This window comes from Homo sapiens, chromosome 8, assembly GCF_000001405.40.
Source record: "Homo sapiens chromosome 8, GRCh38.p14 Primary Assembly".
Lineage (NCBI taxonomy): Eukaryota > Metazoa > Chordata > Mammalia > Primates > Hominidae > Homo > Homo sapiens.
Window position 1 is genome coordinate 103,053,337 of NC_000008.11, and position 21,024 is coordinate 103,074,360.

General features: G+C 38.4%; 1 protein-coding gene across 1 annotated transcript in view; it reads left to right on the forward strand.

The window, feature by feature from the left end:
- The window catches only part of ATP6V1C1 (ATPase H+ transporting V1 subunit C1), a 51,969-nt gene extending 32,254 nt beyond the window's left edge, over positions 1-19,715 (forward strand). The window contains exons 7-13 of the mRNA NM_001695.5: positions 548-646; positions 2,532-2,600; positions 9,619-9,711; positions 9,799-9,892; positions 11,378-11,475; positions 12,985-13,111; positions 15,316-19,715. Of these exons, the coding sequence (NP_001686.1) occupies positions 548-646; positions 2,532-2,600; positions 9,619-9,711; positions 9,799-9,892; positions 11,378-11,475; positions 12,985-13,111; positions 15,316-15,411 (676 nt within the window). The 3' untranslated portion in view covers positions 15,412-19,715. The remainder of the gene's footprint in view (positions 1-547; positions 647-2,531; positions 2,601-9,618; positions 9,712-9,798; positions 9,893-11,377; positions 11,476-12,984; positions 13,112-15,315) is intronic.
- Positions 19,716-21,024: the final 1,309 nt, after the last annotated feature.

A 21,024-nucleotide genomic window follows, 5' to 3' on the forward strand; every position in this document is an offset into this window, starting at 1 on the left:
CCTTCATATCCTAGAGGGAAAGTTGGTTGGATACTGTGAGTGATACAAACAGGGCAAGACATATTTATTATGGGAAAGTGATTACTGGAAGACAAATGAGGACTGATTTGAAAGAGTTAATTATTGGGTTAGCTACCAAAATTGCCTAGTATCAAATGATACCCAAGGGAGGGAAGAACACTAAAGGTATTGTGCTTAGATGACATAGTTTCATAATTATATGATGGAATAGACTTTAATTGATATCTAATGAGTAGATAGTTTTCCAGTCAAGATATTATATATGTAGGCAAGAGAAGAGCTGAGTTATAATAATTAAAGCAAACACAAAACACTAGAGGCAAATTTTGGTAGAAGATATTTCGTTGGTTGCAAGGGTAGGATATATTCAGCTAAATGGTGACTTCTTACAAAGTAAAAATGTTGACTAAGACTAATCCCTCTCAATGTATATATAGTATATGTGAAAATGATTAGCCTGCTGTTTCTTTACTTGTGTTACAGAAGCACATAATTATCAGCCTAATGATTTGTTTTAATTCCTCAGAGGAAGTTTGCTAACTAGAAGTCTAGCAGAAATTGTGAAGAAGGATGACTTTGTTCTTGATTCAGAGTATCTCGTCACATTACTGGTAGTAGTTCCCAAGTAAGTCTTTCTATTATAAAAGGTTTTACTTGTTAAAATACAAGAAAAATGTTAGTATCTAGTATTGTAGTTTGAAGTTTTCCATAAAATCCAAGCGTAAAAGGAATATAACCTTGCCATTCATTCTGTCATCAACATTTGCTCATGTGGCACATAAAGTAGAAATTAGATCATAACCTGGCAATGGAGACTTCAGTTATAAATTGAGTTTCCAAATCAAATTTAGCAGCTTGGTAGAATTGGCTCATTCAAACATAAGTAATGCTAAATTATTGATTGTTTAAAAAATACAGATTTTAGATTTCTCAAAATAGGAAGGTCTTTGCGTTTTTTTCCTGAAAAAATCTTTATGACTGGTTAGGTTTAATTAAGCACTGTAAGAAGCAAAGAATGGATTAGATCAGAGATTAGCAATTTTTTTCTATAAAGGGCTAGATAGTAAGTATTGTAGGCTTTGTAAACAATGTGATCTTTGTCACAACTACTCCACTGTGGCAACTTTGTGGTTATAGCTGAAGTAGCCATAGATGATATGTGAACGAATGAATGTGGCTGTTTCAATAAAACTTTATTTACAAAACAGGCTTGGCTATGGGCATAGTTTGCTAACCCCTGGACTAGATAACCTTTGAAATCTCCTTAGGATTAGGCCTTCTATGTTATTTAATATTTGATCATAGTTAATCTTAAATGAAATGAAACCTTTGGGTACTTGTAGGAAGACCTGGACTTTGTGTGTGTCTGTGTAGCACTATTAATGGTTTCACTTTTGACTTACACTGAGTCTTGCTATCAGGGAATGTTTGGGGGATCCAAACTCAGGTGGGAGATTTGGGTCTTTTTCAGAGTATCATTGTGTGAAGACTTCCTTGCTGTGCTCTGCATTTTTATCTGGTTCAGAGATTTGGAGTACTAGAAAATGATGCCTCCATGGAATTTACAGTGGCTACAGTAGTATCTCAATTCTGCATTTTTTTCCCCTTTATTGCAGTATGCTAGAAAAAATTTTGGATTTTTCTTTGCACAGGGAGAAGGCCTTAAATCTAAGGATTTCACTCCAGAAATTTTATTTTGTGTTCTAGTTACATAACTCCCGTCTGCTACACTGAAACACTGATTATTTATAACAAATTCTGTGTATCTGTGCTTTTATACTATGTAGGAAAATAACTTTTGCCCAGATGAAATATTTGACTCACTCAACCTTTATTTAAAACTTGGGTTCAAAACCAGAAATTTTTACAGTTTTCTGTACCTTGTAATTGAAACATAGGACCTAGGACATCTTACATGATGAATTATTCTCTATTCTGGCCTATACACACTATAATTCTTTGTTTTCAATCTCAAACGTAGTTGTCTCTCCCCACACCCCTGGAAGCCAGTGGCCTCTAGAGAAGGTTGTTGCACAATGTTTTGTGGCAACATAGTTTACTGTCACTTCATTTACTTACTACCTCATGGTACTCTGTGCTTTCCATAAATATAGTTTTTTTTCAGTCCTTCATAATGGCCACTGAGCAGGAATGATAGTGATTTTAGCATGACCATTTTTAAAAAATGAGGCACAATACATATGAACTATGCAGCTTGAAAACAATTTAGAATCTATACTGTGCTTTACTTCCTTTCCGAACATAGTTCTAGGATGTGCCTCTTTTGCAATGGTTACTGGAGGTAGGGTGGTGATCTGTTTTTCCTGCATTACTCAGTGTATTTGAAATTCATTCTCAGTAGGAAACCCGAATTTTTTTTGTTAAATAGAGTTGAAGTATACTTACTATAGCCAGATTTCCTATTTGTCTCATAATTTTTTCTCTTCCTGGATATGGCAGGAAATAGGACTTGTTTTTCTTTTCCAATGTGTATTGTACCTTTTCTGCAGGTTAAACCACAACGACTGGATTAAGCAGTATGAAACACTAGCCGAAATGGTAGTTCCAAGGTCTAGCAAGTAAGTAGAAGTCTTTGTAAAACCATTTGTTTCCTAGAATTCCTTTTAGAGTTTGGATGTTGGCTTAGGAAATATGTTTGCTGTCTTGCCTTTGTGATAAATTAACCTCATGAGTGAGTTCTATGAACTCTAGTTGTAATAATTTTAGACCTAGAAGGGACTTGGCACAGTCTGTTTGACAACCTCCTGTTTATAGACTTAGAAGTTTGAGGCCAGTGAGGTATTAATAGTTTGCCCAGGATCACACATCTCATTTGTGGCAGGGCTAGAACTAGAACCTAGGTCTTTGGTGTGGTACTTTTTCTGCCTCACTGTGCTGCCTTTTGAAAATTCTTTATTCATTATTGCATACCTACTATGTGTCTATAATTCCTCATTTTACTTGGCAAAGGAAGTGTACCAGAATGGCTACTGGACTGCCGTGTTGATCTCCAGATGTTCACCATCACTTTGAGCTTAGATTTTACCTAATTTGTGTGTTCCTTTTATTTAAAAAACAAACCTGTTTTTATTAAGCACTTTTTAAATTTATAGATTTAACATGCATTGTCTAATTTGAAATTTACAACAAGTCTGTGAAGAAGTATGGACAGTTATCATTCTTATTCTCAAGGAAGAAGAAGTTAAAATGCTTAAATAGTTGCCTGAGGCATATGGCTGTGTAAAGTGTCCAATGGCAGAGTTAGGGCTAGAACTCACATCTTTTAGCTCCAGGTCCTGTACCCTTTTAACACTATTCCATGTCATTTTTCTGTGTTCTGCCATTGCCACACCAGATATTCTTTGAGAAAATATAAATACAGTGTATCTCCACCCCAAAGGATTCTTATAGATATATATGTGCTTCAAGGGGAGGCAGCAGGGTGGAAGATATAGGAGGCAGTAAAGAAGTGGAATTAGTAAGGTCAGGCCCATGAAATATTTTCTTTTCCAGTTTCATTGTGTCATGTGGGAAGTAGCTTAGTATGATGGAAAGAGTCCTGGACTCAGGGATCTGAGTTCTATTGCTGGTTCTGTCACCAGTAGAGTCTGTCACTGGTAGGGTCCGTCACTGGTAGGGTTGTGACTTCGAGTTGTCCAGGTTCTTGGTGTTTTGAACAAAAAATTGGACAAAATGCCCAGCAAAGCAAAATAAGAATGAAGCAACAAAAGAACGAAAGCAGGGATTTATTAAAAATGAAAGAAAGTACACTCCACAGTGTAGGAGCAGACCTGAGCAGTGGCTCAAGGGCCTGGATACAGAATCTTCTTGGGTCCAAATAACTCCTACAAGTTTCCCATTGGCCACTTCATGCTCACCTCATGTAAATGACGTGGTAGCCTGCAGTGAGCCTCATTGGTTGCAGAAAGCAGCCAACCAGAGGCTGAAGTGAAGTTACAAAGGTCACACTCCTGTGCAAATATCTGATTGGTTGCAGAAGGCAACTAATCAGAGGCTAGGGTGAAGTTACAAAGTTATACTTCTATGCGAATGAAGACTCGGCCTCCCAATCAGTCTGATTTGTTGCAGACAGCCAATTTCCCATCTGCCATGCAGGAAAGGTCAAAAGGAGTAGCCTCTGGTCCTTTTGTTACTTAGGCGTGGAAAGTTAGGGTTTTCCTTTCAATTTAGTTCTAGGAAACCGGGGTGAAACAACCTTAGGTTCCCTGCCTCCAGACCCTATTTCCTGCCTCAGTTCTGCTACCAACTTGCTGTGTGACCTGGGGTAAGTCTTTTAACTTCTCTGGGCCTCATTTTCTTTGTCTGTAAATGGAGCATAGCACCTTCCTTGTATATATTATGAAGTTATTTTAAGACTTAATGGAGTATTCAAAATACAAGATAATGTTACTGTATTTTCACAAATGTTGATCTTTTAGGAACTTAACAACAAACTTGTGCTCATCATGAATGTTTTTTTTTTCATTTGGAGGAATATCTTTCCTTCATACCAGCTCTTCACATGGTAAACTGAAGACTACAGTTGTGTCTTGATATTGATGGCTCACTTAGGCTGTTGATACTGACAGATCTTTAGGGCATTAGAGCCGTAGAGGTTGACTCTGTGTCTAGGAGGCAGGTAGAGGAGGAGAGTGAGGACGTGGTGCACCCAGAATGTCCTCCAGAGATGGACATACGCCAACCCAGATGTCCAGGGGGATGGTCTGTAGGCTCATTAAGTAAGCTCAGATTTACTCTGATAGAAAGACTTTAAAAATATTCCATCAGAGATTTAGATCTTTGGACAGTCACTTTAGTAGTTTAAAGGGCAAATTTCAGGAAGGGAACAGTTTAATGCAGTCAAGACTTGTTTGCAAGTGACTTGTAAGTGCACACTAATCTTCCGAGAGCTTCCAGCCTTTCCTTGCTCAGTGAAAACATCTTTTCTACCTATTTCTCAGTTCAAAGTACATTTGGAATCACTGACTCAAAAACTTACCTGTTTAAATTTAGTCAGAGAGAACATAGCACTAGCTCAAATAGCACCATCAAGAGTATGTGCAGTTCATGTAGGGGCAAATAGGCTTTTTTGAGTGAGCCTGGAATATTGTCTGCCATTTAGGAAAGATCTCTATGACCTGATGCTGAATTTTTGGCTTATCATCACAACCAGCATTTTTGAGTAATTACTGTGAGCTAGTCTTTGTTCTATGTGCTTTACACAAGTTAATTAATTATAGGTAGTAACACATTACTTTTTGGTATGATAACTTGAGTGATTATTGTTGGGAGCAGTGAAGATGAAAGTGGAATTTTGAGGTAGATTGAAAAATATTCACTTTAATATTCAATCTAATATTTTTCAATCTATTCTTCTAACTGTCCTCAAACCTGAAAGAATTTTAAAGTTCACAAAATATAACTATTTATAAAATATTCTACAAAGATTGGACGGTTTTGAAATACTACCATTGCTGTGAGGCTAAATGCAGCAATGTGTATAAATGCCATGCCAAGGCTGTGGCCAAAGAAGTGGAGGCTGTGCTGCTGTTCTGCTTTTTTTTGTTGAAACACTGTTCAGAAAGAGGTGCTTTTCACTTGTCCTTTCAGAATTACCACTTTCCTATTTTTTTTTTTTTTGTCTGCTTTTGCTTGTTAAAATAGTCTGATTGAGTCAGATCACTGGTTAACTTTTGCCTTTTCTCTGTCATTGGAAGCAACATCACAAACTCATGGATGCTTCACAGAGGTTTTTCTTTAGGGATCTGGAGTCCCCAGTGAAGCAGAGGAGCCTAGCTAAGAAGTGCAGGAAGAATGATACTGGCCACTGTCCAGAAGTTTCTCTATGTTTCAGAGTTTCTGAGGGAGATGGTCTGTTCTCCTGTCAGTACCACTTCAACCACACCCATGGCTCTAGCCTCACCTGCAGTTTTCGGACTGCTAAATCTTCGTCTGTAGCCAGCCTTCCCCCCAACCACATACCTGGTTCCTACTGGACCACTCCATGTGGTATTTCCTAGGTAACTGACACTATCACCCCAATCTCAGACTCAAACTCTCTAGTTGCCCTGTAGTATATGGCAGCAACATCTGCCCAGTGATCCAAACCGCAAGTGTGGTAGTCAGTGATTTTGGAATCTTCCTTTGCCCTTGCACCCCCCTCCCCCCACCGGCCCCCCACCTGAAATAGTCTAATCAGTTATGTCATTTCCACCTTCCATAGTATTTGGTTGAACCGTTAAAAATTGATGTTTTGTAGGTCAGAAAATGGTCAAATATCTACAATTTCATAGGGTTAAATCTACTCTCCCCACTCCCCCAAGACCCACTGCCACTGCTCCAGCTCTGACTCCCTCATCCCTTGCCTGGACCATGGTAATTGACCCTAGCTGGTCTCCTTTTCTCCTCTCATCAGTCCTCCACATTGCTGCTGTTTTCATCTTTGTGACATACAAATGTGTTGCTTTCCCGTCTAAAACCCTGCTTGTCCCTCCCCATTTTGACTGCCTGCCCCCAGCACGCACACACACACACACACACCCACACACCCACACACCCTCTTCTTGTACCCTATGTCCCAGCCATATATGTATATATATATTGTTTTTCTTTCTTTCTTTTTTTTTTTTTTTGAGACACAGTCTCTCTCACCCAGGCTGGAGTGCAGAGGTGTGATCTTGGCTCACCGCAACCTCTGCCTCCCGGGTTCAAGTGAGTCTCCTTCCCCAGCTTCCCAAGTAGCTGGGATTACAGGCATGTGCCACCACACTCAGCTGATTTTTGTATTTTTAGTAGAGGTGAGGTTTCACTATGTCGGCCAGACTGGTCTCGAGCTCCTGACCTCTAAGTGATCTGCCTACCTTGGCCTCCCAAAGTGCTGGGATTACAGGCATGAGCTACCATGCTGAGCCCCGGTTATACTTATTTCTGGCAATTCCTCAGATGCACCATGTTATTCCACATCTATATTCATTTGCATATGGGGTTCTGTCTGGAACGTTCTTCTCTTTTTTGTCTTTCTTTCAAACTTCCACCTGGTATCACCACTTTGGTGAAACTCCTTTGAATCCCCTCAGATAAAGTTACTAATTCCCCAGTGTATCATGTATATTTTCTATTGCAGCACTTACAACTCTATATTGCAGTTACTTGTGTATGCCTGTTTCCTTTACTAAACCCATACCTGGAGATCAGGAAATGCTGTCTTAGTTTTATACTAATATCTAGCAAGTGCTTGCATTACAGAGTCTCAGTACATGTTAAATGACTACAAGTCTGTTATAGTAAGGACTCGTGGTTTATTTTTTAAACAGTTTTAAGAAATACCTTTCCTTAGGGGAAAGAGGGAAAGCAAGTGGCTTTTATTTGTTTTTCATAATAAGGTGGCATAGTAGGATTTAGTTATAAGATAAGATGGAGGTTTTATCTTGGCTTTTTTCACCATCAGGATTTTGAGTAAGCCATAGGAATTTGCTGTGTCCCAGATCTCTGCACAATAGCTAGGAACCTGCTTAATAGGTAACCTGTTCATTGACACAGGGCCATGTCAAGCACCAAATGCTTTTGGAAGGGTCTTCAAAACAGCAAAGTGTTGGATAAGTTTAAAAGATTACTATGATAACAGTAAAACATTATTTGTGGCCCTGAAATAGCCTGTCAAGTTAGATTTGGATTTGTTTTGATCTCAAGCAGTTCACACATCACTGAGTAAATCTTGGCAAAGCAGAAGATCCTTAAACGGTTTTTTAAATCGAGCTCTGTCCACTTGGTAGCTGCCCTTCATTGGGTTTGATGGACACCAGGAGCAAGAATTAAGGGTAATCATTTTGAGAAGATACAGTTTAACAGGAGGTTCTAAATCCAGAGTACTTGAGTTTTCTCTGCATGTCAGCGATTACAGTGATCAGTACTCCTGGAGGTGTCTGCTGGTCATACACTAGGGAGGTGCCCCTGCTGGCTGGCTGACGAGGAGTAGGGTAGATTCAGTACTTAAAGCCATTCTGTGATTAACACTGTAATTGCCTCCTGAATTTACTTGGCTAAACAGGTGGTTCTTAGGCTTCAGGAAAAACTACACTTGCTTTAAACATTTTTTTAATATAGTATCTTTAAATTCCCCAGCATTCCTCCATTTTGTAAAATTTCCTTTTTCTGATTTCAGAAGTACCACATTGTAAAACTGAACATTAAAAAACAAAGAAAACAACCAACAAAAGGGCACAAGGACCCTTTTGGTAGTGAGGGGTATGTTTATTGTCTAGATTGTGGTGATGGTTTCATGGGTATATGCGTATGTCCACACTTCAGATTATAGACATTAAATGCGTACAGTTTTCTGTATAACGATTATATCTCAGTAAAGCTGTTTAAAAAACACTAAACATTAGAAGAACTCCAGTATGTGAAAGACAGAAAGGAGAAGAGATTCCCCTCAGTAACATTCCCCTGCCCCAAGGTTATCGCTGTGGAACAGCTGCCTGTGCAGCCTTGTGGACCTCACATAAGGACTTCTATACAGGAGGCACTATAGGTAAATTCTGAAAGCCAAATTTGGACCATACTATCACAAGCGATACCATTCACCTTTCAAACAGTGGACTTTCACCCAAGGTATTACAGATTTAAATGACCATTAAAATTACCTGGCAGTTGTGTCTGGAAAGGTCTTTCTAGTGATGTCCATGGAGCTGTGACTGAATGGAAGTTCTGACCTCACTGGGACCTTCTAAAGCCTAAAATGGAGCCATGAGATGCATACAGGCACTTTTATTCAGAGATTATTTAGACAGTTGTGTTCATCAGGGTTTTTTTTTTTTTTTTTTTTTTTTTTTTTGACAGGGACTCACTCTGTCACCCAGGCTGGAGTGCAGTGGTGCAATCTCAGCTCACTGTAGCCTCAACCTCCCCAGCTCCAGTGATCCTCCCACCTCAGCCTCCCGAGTAGCTAGGACTACAGGCATGCACCATCACGCCTGGCTAGTTTTTGTATTTTTTGTACAGACACAGTCTTGCCATGTTGCCCAGGCTGGTCTCAAAGTCCTGAACTCAAGCAATCACCCACCTCAGCCTGCCAAAGTGTTGGGATTACAGACATAAGCCACTGCACCCAGCCTGTCAGTTTTTGATTGAGAGATGTCATGGGAGCAAAGGAAAGATCCAAGGTTTAAGGTACTGGCAATGCAGAGAGGCTAGGCTGGGCATCAGTGGGGCTGAGTTGGCCTGGAGAAAGGAAGAAAGAATTAGGCTTCCAGAAAAGAAGAGTGTGCTTATCAAGGAGACACTGGAAACAAAGCAGCTTGGCGCTGATGTTGATTGAAAAGTGTGGTTCTTAGCGTTTGGATGCTTTACTGGAGTTAATGTCTAATTTTGTTGGTTAGTAAGAAATAAATGTAGAGTGTTAAGGTATCATAAGCAAAATAAATCATAAACATTCAGTATCTTCGGTGTTTGAGGCAATCCAGATTGAAAAGCATTGAGGTGATTTGGGAAGGGCTATTATACCCTACTTTTCTCTTCCACCTGTTTCTGAATTTTGCCCTTAATATGAAAGACAGCAATACGTATAAATCTTTAAATGGACTTTTTTTTTTTCCATAGTGTTCTTTCAGAGGACCAAGACAGTTACCTGTGTAATGTCACCTTGTTTAGGAAGGCAGTTGATGACTTCAGACACAAAGCCAGAGAAAACAAGTAAGATTATTGTTTTTTTGTTTATTTACTTTGTTAGATCAGCTGTATACAATGTGAACAATTTTGTTTTTTTTCCCCCAAATTTAGATTCATTGTTCGTGACTTCCAGTATAATGAAGAGGAGATGAAAGCAGATAAAGAAGAAATGAACAGGCTTTCTACTGATAAGAAAAAACAATTTGTATGTGTTTTTAATATTTAGTATTATCAGTACTAAGCAGAAGAAAAAGTGGTATTGCTTTCCTTTGATTTAAAAGAAAGTAAAAATCTGCTTTGGTTTTAAGACATTTGATTTTAGTTTTTTTTTTTAATTGAATAATCAGAATGAATTTCCTCTAAAGCTTAACTGTTCTAGAGATAACTATTCTATTTCTAAGAAAGCTTTCTTCTAAAGCTTATGTCTATCTGAGATAGAATAGAGTAGATAGAATAGTTATCCTAAAATACATACTTAAAAAGAAATTACTCCACCTAAATCCATATCAGACATTAATTTTAAATGCAGTATTCTGGTTAACATCCTTGTAGGTGAAGGGTGATTTTAGTTAAGTAACGAAGTTCTTTTCAGTAAGACTTTTCACTTTCTTGAGGCAGATTTTTTCAATGCCTCAATCTTTTATTGAAGCAATTTGTATTTAAGCTATTGGAGAATTGGTGTGTTCTAGGTGTAATGGGAAACGAGTGGAATTGTGAAAATCAAAGATGGTGTTAACTTTCTTGCCATCTTCAAGTGTGGGATTACTGTGAAGACTAAAAGCTTGTTTGGAAAGGGAAACATAATGAGTGAAAATGTGTTTCTCTTAATAATGTAAGAGGAAATTAAGGGAAATATTGAAAATTATTTCCAAGTACTTTATAAGCCATATCATCTCAACTAGGAGGAAACTCATTCTAACCAAGTAATGTCAAAATAACCAGCTTTTTAGGGCAAACCCAAAATCCTTTTAAAAAATAGATATTTTGACAAGATTTTCACTTGTTTTGCTATCCTTTTGCTTAAATTAATTGTTTGGTACATCCAAATGAGCCTAATAATGTTATCCAAGGAAGTGTTAGCTGAATCTTTTAAGTATGGAGAGAGGAGGTATTTGAAATCCGCTTAATCCTACTAAATATTTGAAGTTTAAAAAGAACTTAACGCTATACAATTTAGAATGTAAAGAGGTTTTAGATGTCTAGACCAACTCCCTTTTTTACAGATGGGAAAACTAAGAGCTAGTGCTGTTAAATGACTTGCCTACATAACTGTTTATCTTTGTTACTAAGAAGTTGTTTGTAAGTTGAATTTCATTTTACATGTATTAAATGTTTTAGAGTGTTGTGTAGTAAATTCAGATCTTTATATTTTGATTTTCCAACCTAAGGCATTTCTATATTTTGTACCATTTTAACTACTTTTATTAAAATATATACCTTTTTCTGTGTTAGTGAATTGGTTCAATGCATTTTAGTGTCTGTTGAGATCTCTCTGTAGTGGCGAACCTTTTAATCTAATTTAAGATAAGGTATCTGAGATAATGAGAATAATAGTGAAACATGTAGAAAGTGAATTATGCGACTTAATTCTTCTATAGATTCCTAATAGGTAGTCACTTAAAAAAATATTTGGTCTATCTAATTGCTATTTCTAAGACCAAATTTGTGGTAATTTTTTTTCTTTTTATAGGGACCACTTGTACGGTGGCTGAAAGTGAATTTTAGTGAAGCATTTATTGCATGGATTCACGTGAAAGCATTACGGGTTTTCGTTGAGTCTGTTTTAAGGTAAAGCAAGTTAATTGCCAAACTTGGAACTGAAGAGTTCATAGATTCCTTACATTGGACCTCTTTATTATAACACAGTCCAGCAATAGGAAATTGATTTGGAGAAATCAAAGGGCCAATCATGAGACAGAGATTATCAGTATCATCATACAGCTTATAAAATGCATATTAGTCTTGTTCTTTAGCACCAGGTTTAGAAAAAGAGATTTATGCTGCCATACCCTCAGGTTCTTTTTCTTGTGTAGGTACTTAAAAGTAGATTAAATATTAACCAATATTTGTTTAAAAGGAAGATCCTTCAGGTGTTTTATATGTCATTGGATACATAGTATGCTAATGACTTATTGAAATCATTTCATATTAACCTAAAGTATTTTAATATTTTGAGATATTTAAAAAATCATATTCTGGTCCAATGTATGGGTTGCTCATATTAGAAATAGTTTTAAAAAACCCAAAACTTGGCCGGGTGCAGTGGCTCACGCCTGTAATCCCAGCACTTTGGGAGGCTGAGGCAGGCAGATCACGAGGTCCGATTGAGACCATCCTGGCTAACAGGGTGAAATCCTGTCTCTACTAAAAATATAAAAAAATTAGCCAAGTGTGGTGGCACGCGCCTGTAGTGCTGGCTACTTGGGAGACTGAGGCAGAGAATCACTTGAACCCAGGAGGTGGAGGTTGCAGTGAGCCGAGATTGTGCCACTGCACTATTGCACCACTGCACTCCAGCCTGGGCAACAGAGCGAGACTCCGCCTGAAAAAACAAAACACAAAACAAACAAAAAAACACCCCAAAACTTACATGTAACCATGCTCACTATTTTTAAATTTTTTCAAATTTTCAAACTATATGTGGGTAACCTCATGCTATTACCATAAAAGTATCTGCTGACCTTACTTCTTCTTATTTCCTGAGGATATTCATATATTACCTTAAAAATTGAATGGTAAGCCAGGCGTGGTGGCTCATGCCTGTAGTCCCAGCACTTTGGGAGGCCAAGGCGGGCAGATCATGAGGTCAAGAGATTGAGACCATGCTGGCCAACATGGTGAAACCCCGTCTCTACTAAAAATAGAAAAATCAGCTGGGCATGGTGGTATGTGCCTGTAATCCCAGCTACTCAGGAGGCTGAGGCAGGAGAATGGCTTGAACCCAGGAGGCGGAGATTGCAGTGAGCCAGGATTGCACCACTGCACTCCAGCCTGGCAACAGTAAGAATCCGTCTCAAAAGAAAAAAAAAATGAATGGTAATTGAAGTAATTCCTAGTAATTGGCGTAGAGATTTCTAGTGGACAGTGGGGACCAAAGGTTTGCGTTTCTGTTTATATTGAAGTTTTTTGTGTATATTAGTTTCAGTTTCTATATATATTAGTTGAACTTGTAAAGGTAAAGGGAGATATTCTCTCCCCGTTAACCATGATTAAAGAGTATGAGAATATTTGCTTTGAAAAGAAAATCTCTTTACATGTTTGCTTGTATTGCGTACTGTATTTCTGCTTTTTTGTAAGGTATGGCTTGCCAGTGAACTTCCAAGCAATGCTACTTCAGCCCAATAAGAAAACTTTGAAGAAACTGAGAGAAGTATTACATGAATTGTATAAACATCTAGACAGCAGTGCAGCAGCTATTATTGATGTAAGTACTTATTAGCCCAGTAGAGTAAGAATTGAAGTGAATTTCAGAAAAAAAATGATTGAAAGAAGATAGACAGAAAAGGGAGGGTAAGTATGAAACTTAATCATTTTTTATTACTTTGAGGTTCTCAATTTGTTATGTAAACATAGTAATTTACATTGTTTACCCTGTTTTATACTAATTATATCTGTGTTTTGCTTCTTGGCATTTCTACAAGCTAGTAATTATCTTGCTGTGTATCAGATGTTTATAGCTGCAGAAATACAGAAACCAGTGATACTAGTTATTTACAAAAACTATAAATTGCAGAGAGGAAGAAAATAAGCAGTTATTTTAATTTTATTTGGTAGAAGCGATAGAGTCAATAGATGAGTATTTTCAAGGTAGGTTCATTTTTCTAAAATGGCGTAGCTGGGCGTGGTGGGACATGTTGGTAGTCCCAGCAACTGAGGAGGCTGAGGCGGGAGGATCACTTGAGCCCAGGCCTTCGAGACCAACCTGGGTAACATAGTAAGATCCCATCTGAAAAAAGAAAAAAAAAAACAGACCAAAAAATGTATTATGTGTTTATATCTTCTTTTAAACAAAACTGTTATTTTTTAAACAAAAGAAGATATAAACAGAGTTACTTGTGTTTTTTTGTTGTTGCTGTTTAAAATTGTAGTGGGCCGCTGGGCGTGGTGGCTCACGCCTGTAATCCCAGCACTTTGGGAGGCCGAGGCGGGGGGATCACCTTAAGTCAGGAGTTTGAGACCGGCCTGGCCAACATGGTGAAACCCCGTCTCTACTAGAAATACAATAATTAGCTGGGCGTGGCAGCGGTCACCTATAATCCCAGCTACTCGGGAGCCTGAGGCAGGAGAATCGCTTGAACCTCGGGGGGTGGTTGCAGTGAGCCAAGATTGCGCCACTGCACTCCAGCCTGGGTGACAGAGGGAGACTCCGTCCCAAAAAAAAAAAAAAAAAAAATTGTAGTGGGCTTTTACTTTATATTTCTGGTTTTAAATATCTTGCTGATTTTTTTTTTTCTCTTTAAAAGTTTAGGGTAGATGGTAGCATCTCACATAGGCATTAATTAGAACTATGAAAAATCAGTTTTTCTTGATAGAAGGAAATGCGGGAAATGACTTGCTACACTTTTTTTCTTTTTCTTTTTTTTTTTTTTTTTTTCGAGATGGAGTTTCGCTCTTTTGCCCAGGCTGGAGTGAAGTGGCGTGATCTTGGCTCACTGCAGTCTCTGCCTCCTGGGTTCAGGCAGTTCTCCTGCCTCAGCCTCCTGAGTAGCTGGGATTATGCCTGGCTAATTTTTGTATTTTTAGTAGAGCTGCGGTTTCACCATGTTGGCCAGGCTGGTCTTGAACTCCTGACCTCAGGTGATCCGCCCACCTCGGCCTCCCAAAGTGCTAAGATTACAGGCGTGAGCCACCTTGCCCCCGGCCAACTTGCTCCACTTTCATGCAATTGTGGATAAAATGAGAGGTATAATTATTTGATACATAAATGTTCTAGCAGTAAATTCTTATAACATGCATTTATAATAAGTGTTATCCTTGCTTGTTTTTTGGCTCTGTTGCTCAGGCTAGAATGCAGTGGCATGGTTTTGGCTCACTGCAGCCTCAACCTCTATGCTCAAGTGATCCTCCCACCTCAGCCTTCCAAGTAGTTGGGACTATAGGCACGCAGTACCACTGCTGGTTAATGTTTTTATTTTTATTTTTTGTAGCGATAGAGTCTCACTATGTTGCCCAGACTGGTCTTGAACTCCTGGGCTCAAGGCCTTGGCCTCTCAAAGTGCTGATATTACAGAATAAGTATTACTTATAAATCATACTTGCTTTATTTTTACTCCATATTTTGTAAGTCTTGTATCCCATCAACTCAGTATTCTAAGTCCAAGATTTAAAAAGTTAATTTTTACAGTATACATAAAAAAGGTTGGTGGGATCATGCTAAATACATATGCAGTCAGAATGCTTGAACCTGGCTTTACCACTCACTGTCTGTGTTTCCTAGGAGAAGTCAGTCTTTCAGAGATTGTTTTCTCATTTGCAAAATGGGAATAATGTCTAACTCAGATAAATTAGCCTTAAGTGCATACATTTAGCCCAGAGTAGATGTTCAATAAAAAGGTAAATGTTAATACTTGCTTTCTTTTTTTGAGTTCTGTAAATACAAAATTGAATAATTGTCTGTTTTTTCCATAGGCTCCTATGGATATTCCAGGTTTAAACCTGAGTCAACAAGAATACTACCCCTATGTGTACTACAAGATTGATTGCAACTTGCTGGAATTCAAGTGAAAATGGGCTCCTCCCCCGACAATCCTGTCCTTGTGTTTGTGTGTGCTAACAGAAATAAGTTGCAGTATGGTCGTACTTTTAACTCTAGTATCCTTTGCTTGCTTCTTACGCCCTTTCCTAGGTGAATTCTCCCACAGTGGTCTGTATCTCAACATTTTCTTTTTAAAGGAAAAAATATATATATATAGTTTCTTTTTATTGATCAGGTCTGTAAATGTGTACTAAAAAAATCAGAGTTTATTTATAAACAAAATAGTTTATTTAAAGAGAAGGTCTCTTCCTTATTGATATCATGGTATGCATTAATTCCATTTGTTACTATTGTGCACAAAAGCCCTGTTCACAGGGGAATGGTGTAAACATTTATACTGTTTTGTTCACTGTATTTAGTAGACATAACTGTTGAATAGTTACTGAATCATGATGTAAAGAATATGTGACCATCTTCAGGTATGGGATTTCTGAACGTTTCAAATTTCAATCAATGAGCACTGTCAACACCCACAGGAGAGAATAAAATTACCTGTGCAAAGGTGTATTGTGGTGTGTGTAACTTAAGATTACAGTTCTGTTTGAGAGTTAAATGATGTCATAGCTCACTTGCTATGCTGCTTCCAGGATTTTGTTATATGCTGAGGTGTAACCATTTGTGTTGTCTGACTTTCGTATGATTTAATTGAGCCAAATTTGGGTCAGAACACAAATTTGAAGATGACTTTTCAGTATATGATGGGTATTTACATTTGAACACTAGAATTTTAGGTCTCTCAAATAATTAAGAATAGAGCCAGTTTTGAATAAAGTCTAGCAGAACTATGCAGCTTTAGTCATTTGTTTTGTCTAAGTCTGTATTTTATGTGTTGTCTTCTTAAGATCTATAATTTTGGCATTTATGTCATTTGTGACATAGTCTGAAAATAGAGACATTGTTGGCCTTTAAAATCTCAGAAATGAATGACTTAATTTAGTGTCCTGAAAGAGCTTTTAAAAGAGGATTTTGTGGCAATGTTTCTCTTACTACGTACTCACAGGTTTGCAAATGGGAAAAAAGTTTACATTTCAGTTTAGGGGCATATCTAAGCTATGCTATTCCCTTTAGAAAATTAGCCTCCAAAATCTTTTGTTTCAAAATATTATATTATTTCATAAATAATTTCAAGCAAATACAGACATCCACAATGTAGAACATGAGAGACCCCCTCCCTCAATTTCCACCTCCCAAGGGAAGTTTATGTATTTTTCTAGGCCCTTTTCTATGTCTTTACATCTCTGTCTCACACACACACACGTATACACACACACAGTTTATTTTTAATAAAATAGGATTATACCACACACATCCTGTCACTTGCTTTTTTGCTTAAGAGTATATCTAAGAGAATCCTTTGTGTCAGTGAAGCTGGAGCTACCTCATTCTTTTAACTGGCTGCGTGGCGTTCCATTGAGTGTCTGTCATCATGTGTTTAGCCGAGTGGATGGATAGTCTGCTTGTTTTTAGTTTTTGCTCTTAACAAACACTGCTGCAGTCAGCATCCTTGCACAGATTTCTTTGTATACTTGTATTAGTATTTCTGTAAGATCTGAGAAGTGGAATTTGTAGGGTCATAGGTTATGTACACTTAAGTTTTTGACACTCACTGCCAAGTCATCTGTCAGAATTCTAAACTAAAGACATGTTTGGAGTGTGGATTTATCTTCAGTTTTTCTTTGGACAAGAGGAAGCTGTGAAAGATTTTGCTATCAGAAAATTTTGGTTCTTTGTCTTTTGCACATGTTCTTTGAGTCTTAGTATCTGTAACGTGGCGCTACTCTCTCTATCATGGGGGGGCATGTTTTGACATTAAATTGACTTTTAAGAAAAACATGTCACTAACCTGAAGCTCAGCCACACAGTGACTTTTAAGGTTTTATTTAGACTTTACTGTTGTTCTCATGAGAGTAGGTACAGACTGCATAAGGTTTAGAATCCCAGCATATGTCTGAAACGACGGGACTTTCACTGTGATTTCCACCAGAGAAATTATAGCAGAGTGGCTGAGCATGTGCTCTGAGGCCAGGCCCCAGCTCTGCTGCTGACGAGCTGTGTGGTCCTGGGCAGAGTGGTCTCCGAGTTCCAGTCCCTCCTCTGTAAAATGGGCATGATTAGAGTGCCCACCGCATTAGGGATGTTGGGGTGAGTCAGTGTGACCCCACGTGCACAGAAAGTGCTGCGAGTGGTGCATGGTGAGAGGTTGATGCAGGTACTTAGCCCTTGGGGAACACAGGTAGTTCCTTTTCACTGTGTTTAATTTGGGAAAATCCAGATCCACATCATTGTAGAGTCTGAGGGTTAGAAGGAAGTCATTGTGTCTAACATAACAACAGAGCAGTTTGTGTCACTGAGCTCCAGTCTGTGCTGGATTATTGATATTGTTGGTGGCGGTCACCATTCCTGGAAAGGGACTGTCCCAAGCCACTTACCTTCCCGAGGAGTCTGCTGGTTCTCCTTGAGGATAGTGCTTAGATAACAGACTCATTAAACATTTACTGAGTGTCTGTCAGGGATCATTCACATCCACATCATCCTCCCGGCCCCTCCCCGTGTTGTTCATGGAGGGAGTACTGGCGGTCCCCATTTTCATGTATGGAGACTTCAGGTGAAAGAAGTTAAGTGAATTCTTTGTTGAGTCACAAATCTTGAGCCAGTCAGAATTTGAACCTAAGATTTTTGACTGCTGGTTGTCACACTTCCCGCCCCACACTCAACTGTTGTGTGAATGAGCCAGACACATTGCTTAACCTGAGTCCGAGATGGACAATGGTATAGGAAAGATATTCGGTATGGAGAATCAGATGTTAACTTGTGTTGCTATTTTTGTTTTGTTTTGTTTTGTTTTGTTTTTGAGACAAGGTCTTGCTCTGTCACCCAGGCTAGAGTGCAGTGGCATGATCAGGGCTTACTGCAGCCTCACCCTCGATTTCCTGGGCTCAAGCAATCCTCCCACCTCAGCCCCCAAGTAGCTGGGCCTACAGGTGCGTGCTACCACGCCTGGCCAATTTTTTAAATTTTAGCACAGATGAGGTCTCACTATGTTGCCCGGGCTGGTCTCGAACTCCTGAGCTCAAGGGATCCTCCCGCCTCAGCCTCCCAAAGTGCTGGTGTTACAGGCATAAGCCACCACGCCTGGCCTGTGTTGCTATTATATTTGGCAGGAACCCAGAGTCCAGAACATTTCATCTATGATGGGTTAGATAATGTGTCTAGTTGTTTGCATGCCAATTTCAGTAGCCTCAGTTATTCAACCTAGGAGATTTTTCTACCTCTTTACTACCCTGCTGAAGTTGCTCTTCAGCAGAAAATCTTTGTGGAACACATTCCACACTTTGAAATCTTCGTGGAACAAAAGATATTTGTGGAACCAATCTTTGTGGAACATATTCCAGCTTTTTGAATGAGTGCATATCCAGTAGTACCTTTAAAGTAACACTTTGTACATAACAAATACTCAGCAAATGTGAAACTTTATTTGCTCTTACTTCAAAATTAGTCCAAAATGTTGGAAATAAAATATAAGACATTGATCTAGATATGAGGTTTTTCTCCTTCATTCTCAGCTGTCGAAGAAATCAAAGTAGCATATGCACAAGGTTAAAAACCACATATACAAATACTATAGAACAGCTTATAATGAAAACCTTGCCTGCCTTTATAAAAAATGTGATTATCTTCTTCTGTTAATGTCAATAAAAGATGGTTTGTCCTAGAAGGTCTATAAATGGTATTATGTTCTGGAGGAAACCTAGCAAAAACTTTGCTAGTTTAGTACTTGTCTCTAAATTGATGTTCACCCATTTCAATATTGCACTTATTAATGGTCTTTATTTTTCTAGCATAGATAACAATTGATTCTTTAGATTCATATATGGAGGTAATTCTTGCTTTCTAAAGAAAGGAATATGGCACATTGGAACCATTTTATTCACCAGTGGATTTACCCTTAGAGTATTTTTAGATCTGAGCTGATGACTTGTGAGAGAAAAAGGGAACAGAGTAAAGCCATGGAAGCCATGAACAGTAAGAGACTGCCGCCTGGCATGGTTTCTTCTTCTGCAGAAGATGAAACTGAGGAGAAACAAGACAACATCCTTCATACCAGGAATGGTCAAGATAATGCAAGAAGAAAAAAGCTTTCAAACAAATCAGAAGGCAGTCAACAAACAGAAAGGGGGACATTCCTTCCCTGGCAGTTACTCAAAACTGAAATTGCTTATTGTGTACACCGGGGCTTGTACTTGGGGAATTTAATAAAAATGCTCATTACCAAGCTCCAGAGAGATGTGGTTTAAAGTCTTAAGTAGATCCAAGGAATAACCTACATTTTAAACAAATACCCAGGAGAATCAGAGGCTAGGGGTTAGTTGTAATCGGATACTACCTTTTAATGATTCTTCCTCTGAACCCTCAGATTGGGGTGTTGATTTAGAATTTGTAAGCATCTTGAGGTCTCATTCAAATAGTGATTCTTCTCTATTGACAGAGACCACACTTAATAGAATCATCATGGGTAAATCAGCTTTTTCTACTGTCACTTGAAGAAATATTCCACGTCGTTAAATCAGTAGAACTGGAGAGTTCTGTCTCAGCAGAAATTGATCAATAAAGATGTCTTTTGCCCTTGGAAGGCCATAGAATATCAAGTTGAAATTTGCAAAAACTCTAAAATGATCAAGGTCACATTTTCATCTTTTAATTGAGAACTCATTGTGGACATAATTTGTCACTGCTTGTAAAGTGTAAAAAGAAACAACCAAAACAGACTTTGAAAGAATGGTTTATATGAGGAAGCCCTCCTCCCCCCCAGAAAAGGGCTATTAAGATGAAAGTGAAAGAAGGAGTTGGAGGCAGCAAAGGTTATTGTTGATGTTGGACAAAGGAAGGAATAAACTGTATGACACCACCTTGAACTTGAAAGTCATTTGTTTTTTAACCAGAAGATGAACAGGAACTATTTAGAATATCAAATCCCAAGAGCAGCTTTCATGTATTTTGCTGTTTCCTAGGTATGTGGGTGGCCTCACCGCATAGTCCTGTGACAAATCTTAATTATTTTTTTCACCAACACAACTTGCCATATTTTATATAAACTACTTAGATACATATTTAGACTGTTTCTCAAGAGTGCTTTATAGTTGAGTACAGGTTTTATGCATTGTTAGAAGCATAAAGACGCTTGTTTTTTAAATAGAAATTGTGATTATGCAGATACCATGTTTTACCACAAGAGGGCACTCTGGTGCCATTGAAAAGCAAACAGGTAGTTTCTCCTCCCTGCATTTTTGGTTCTGACTTGTACAGTCAGTTTAGAGAAACCTACACTCTGCATTCTGGTTTGGTATATTTTGTTACAAGCGTTTATTAATATAAAGTTCTCAAAAAATGTTAGATGACTTATTTTGTGACACTCTAGCCTCTGTGTGTGTGTGTGCATAAAACCCACACATCTTTGAGCAGACCAGTGCCAGCCAGTGACAGTTTTCACTGAAGATCAAATTAAAAAGGTAAGGATATATGTATGTGTGTGCATGTGCGTGTGCATATATAATCACTGACTCAGTTGCTGAGCATGCGCTATG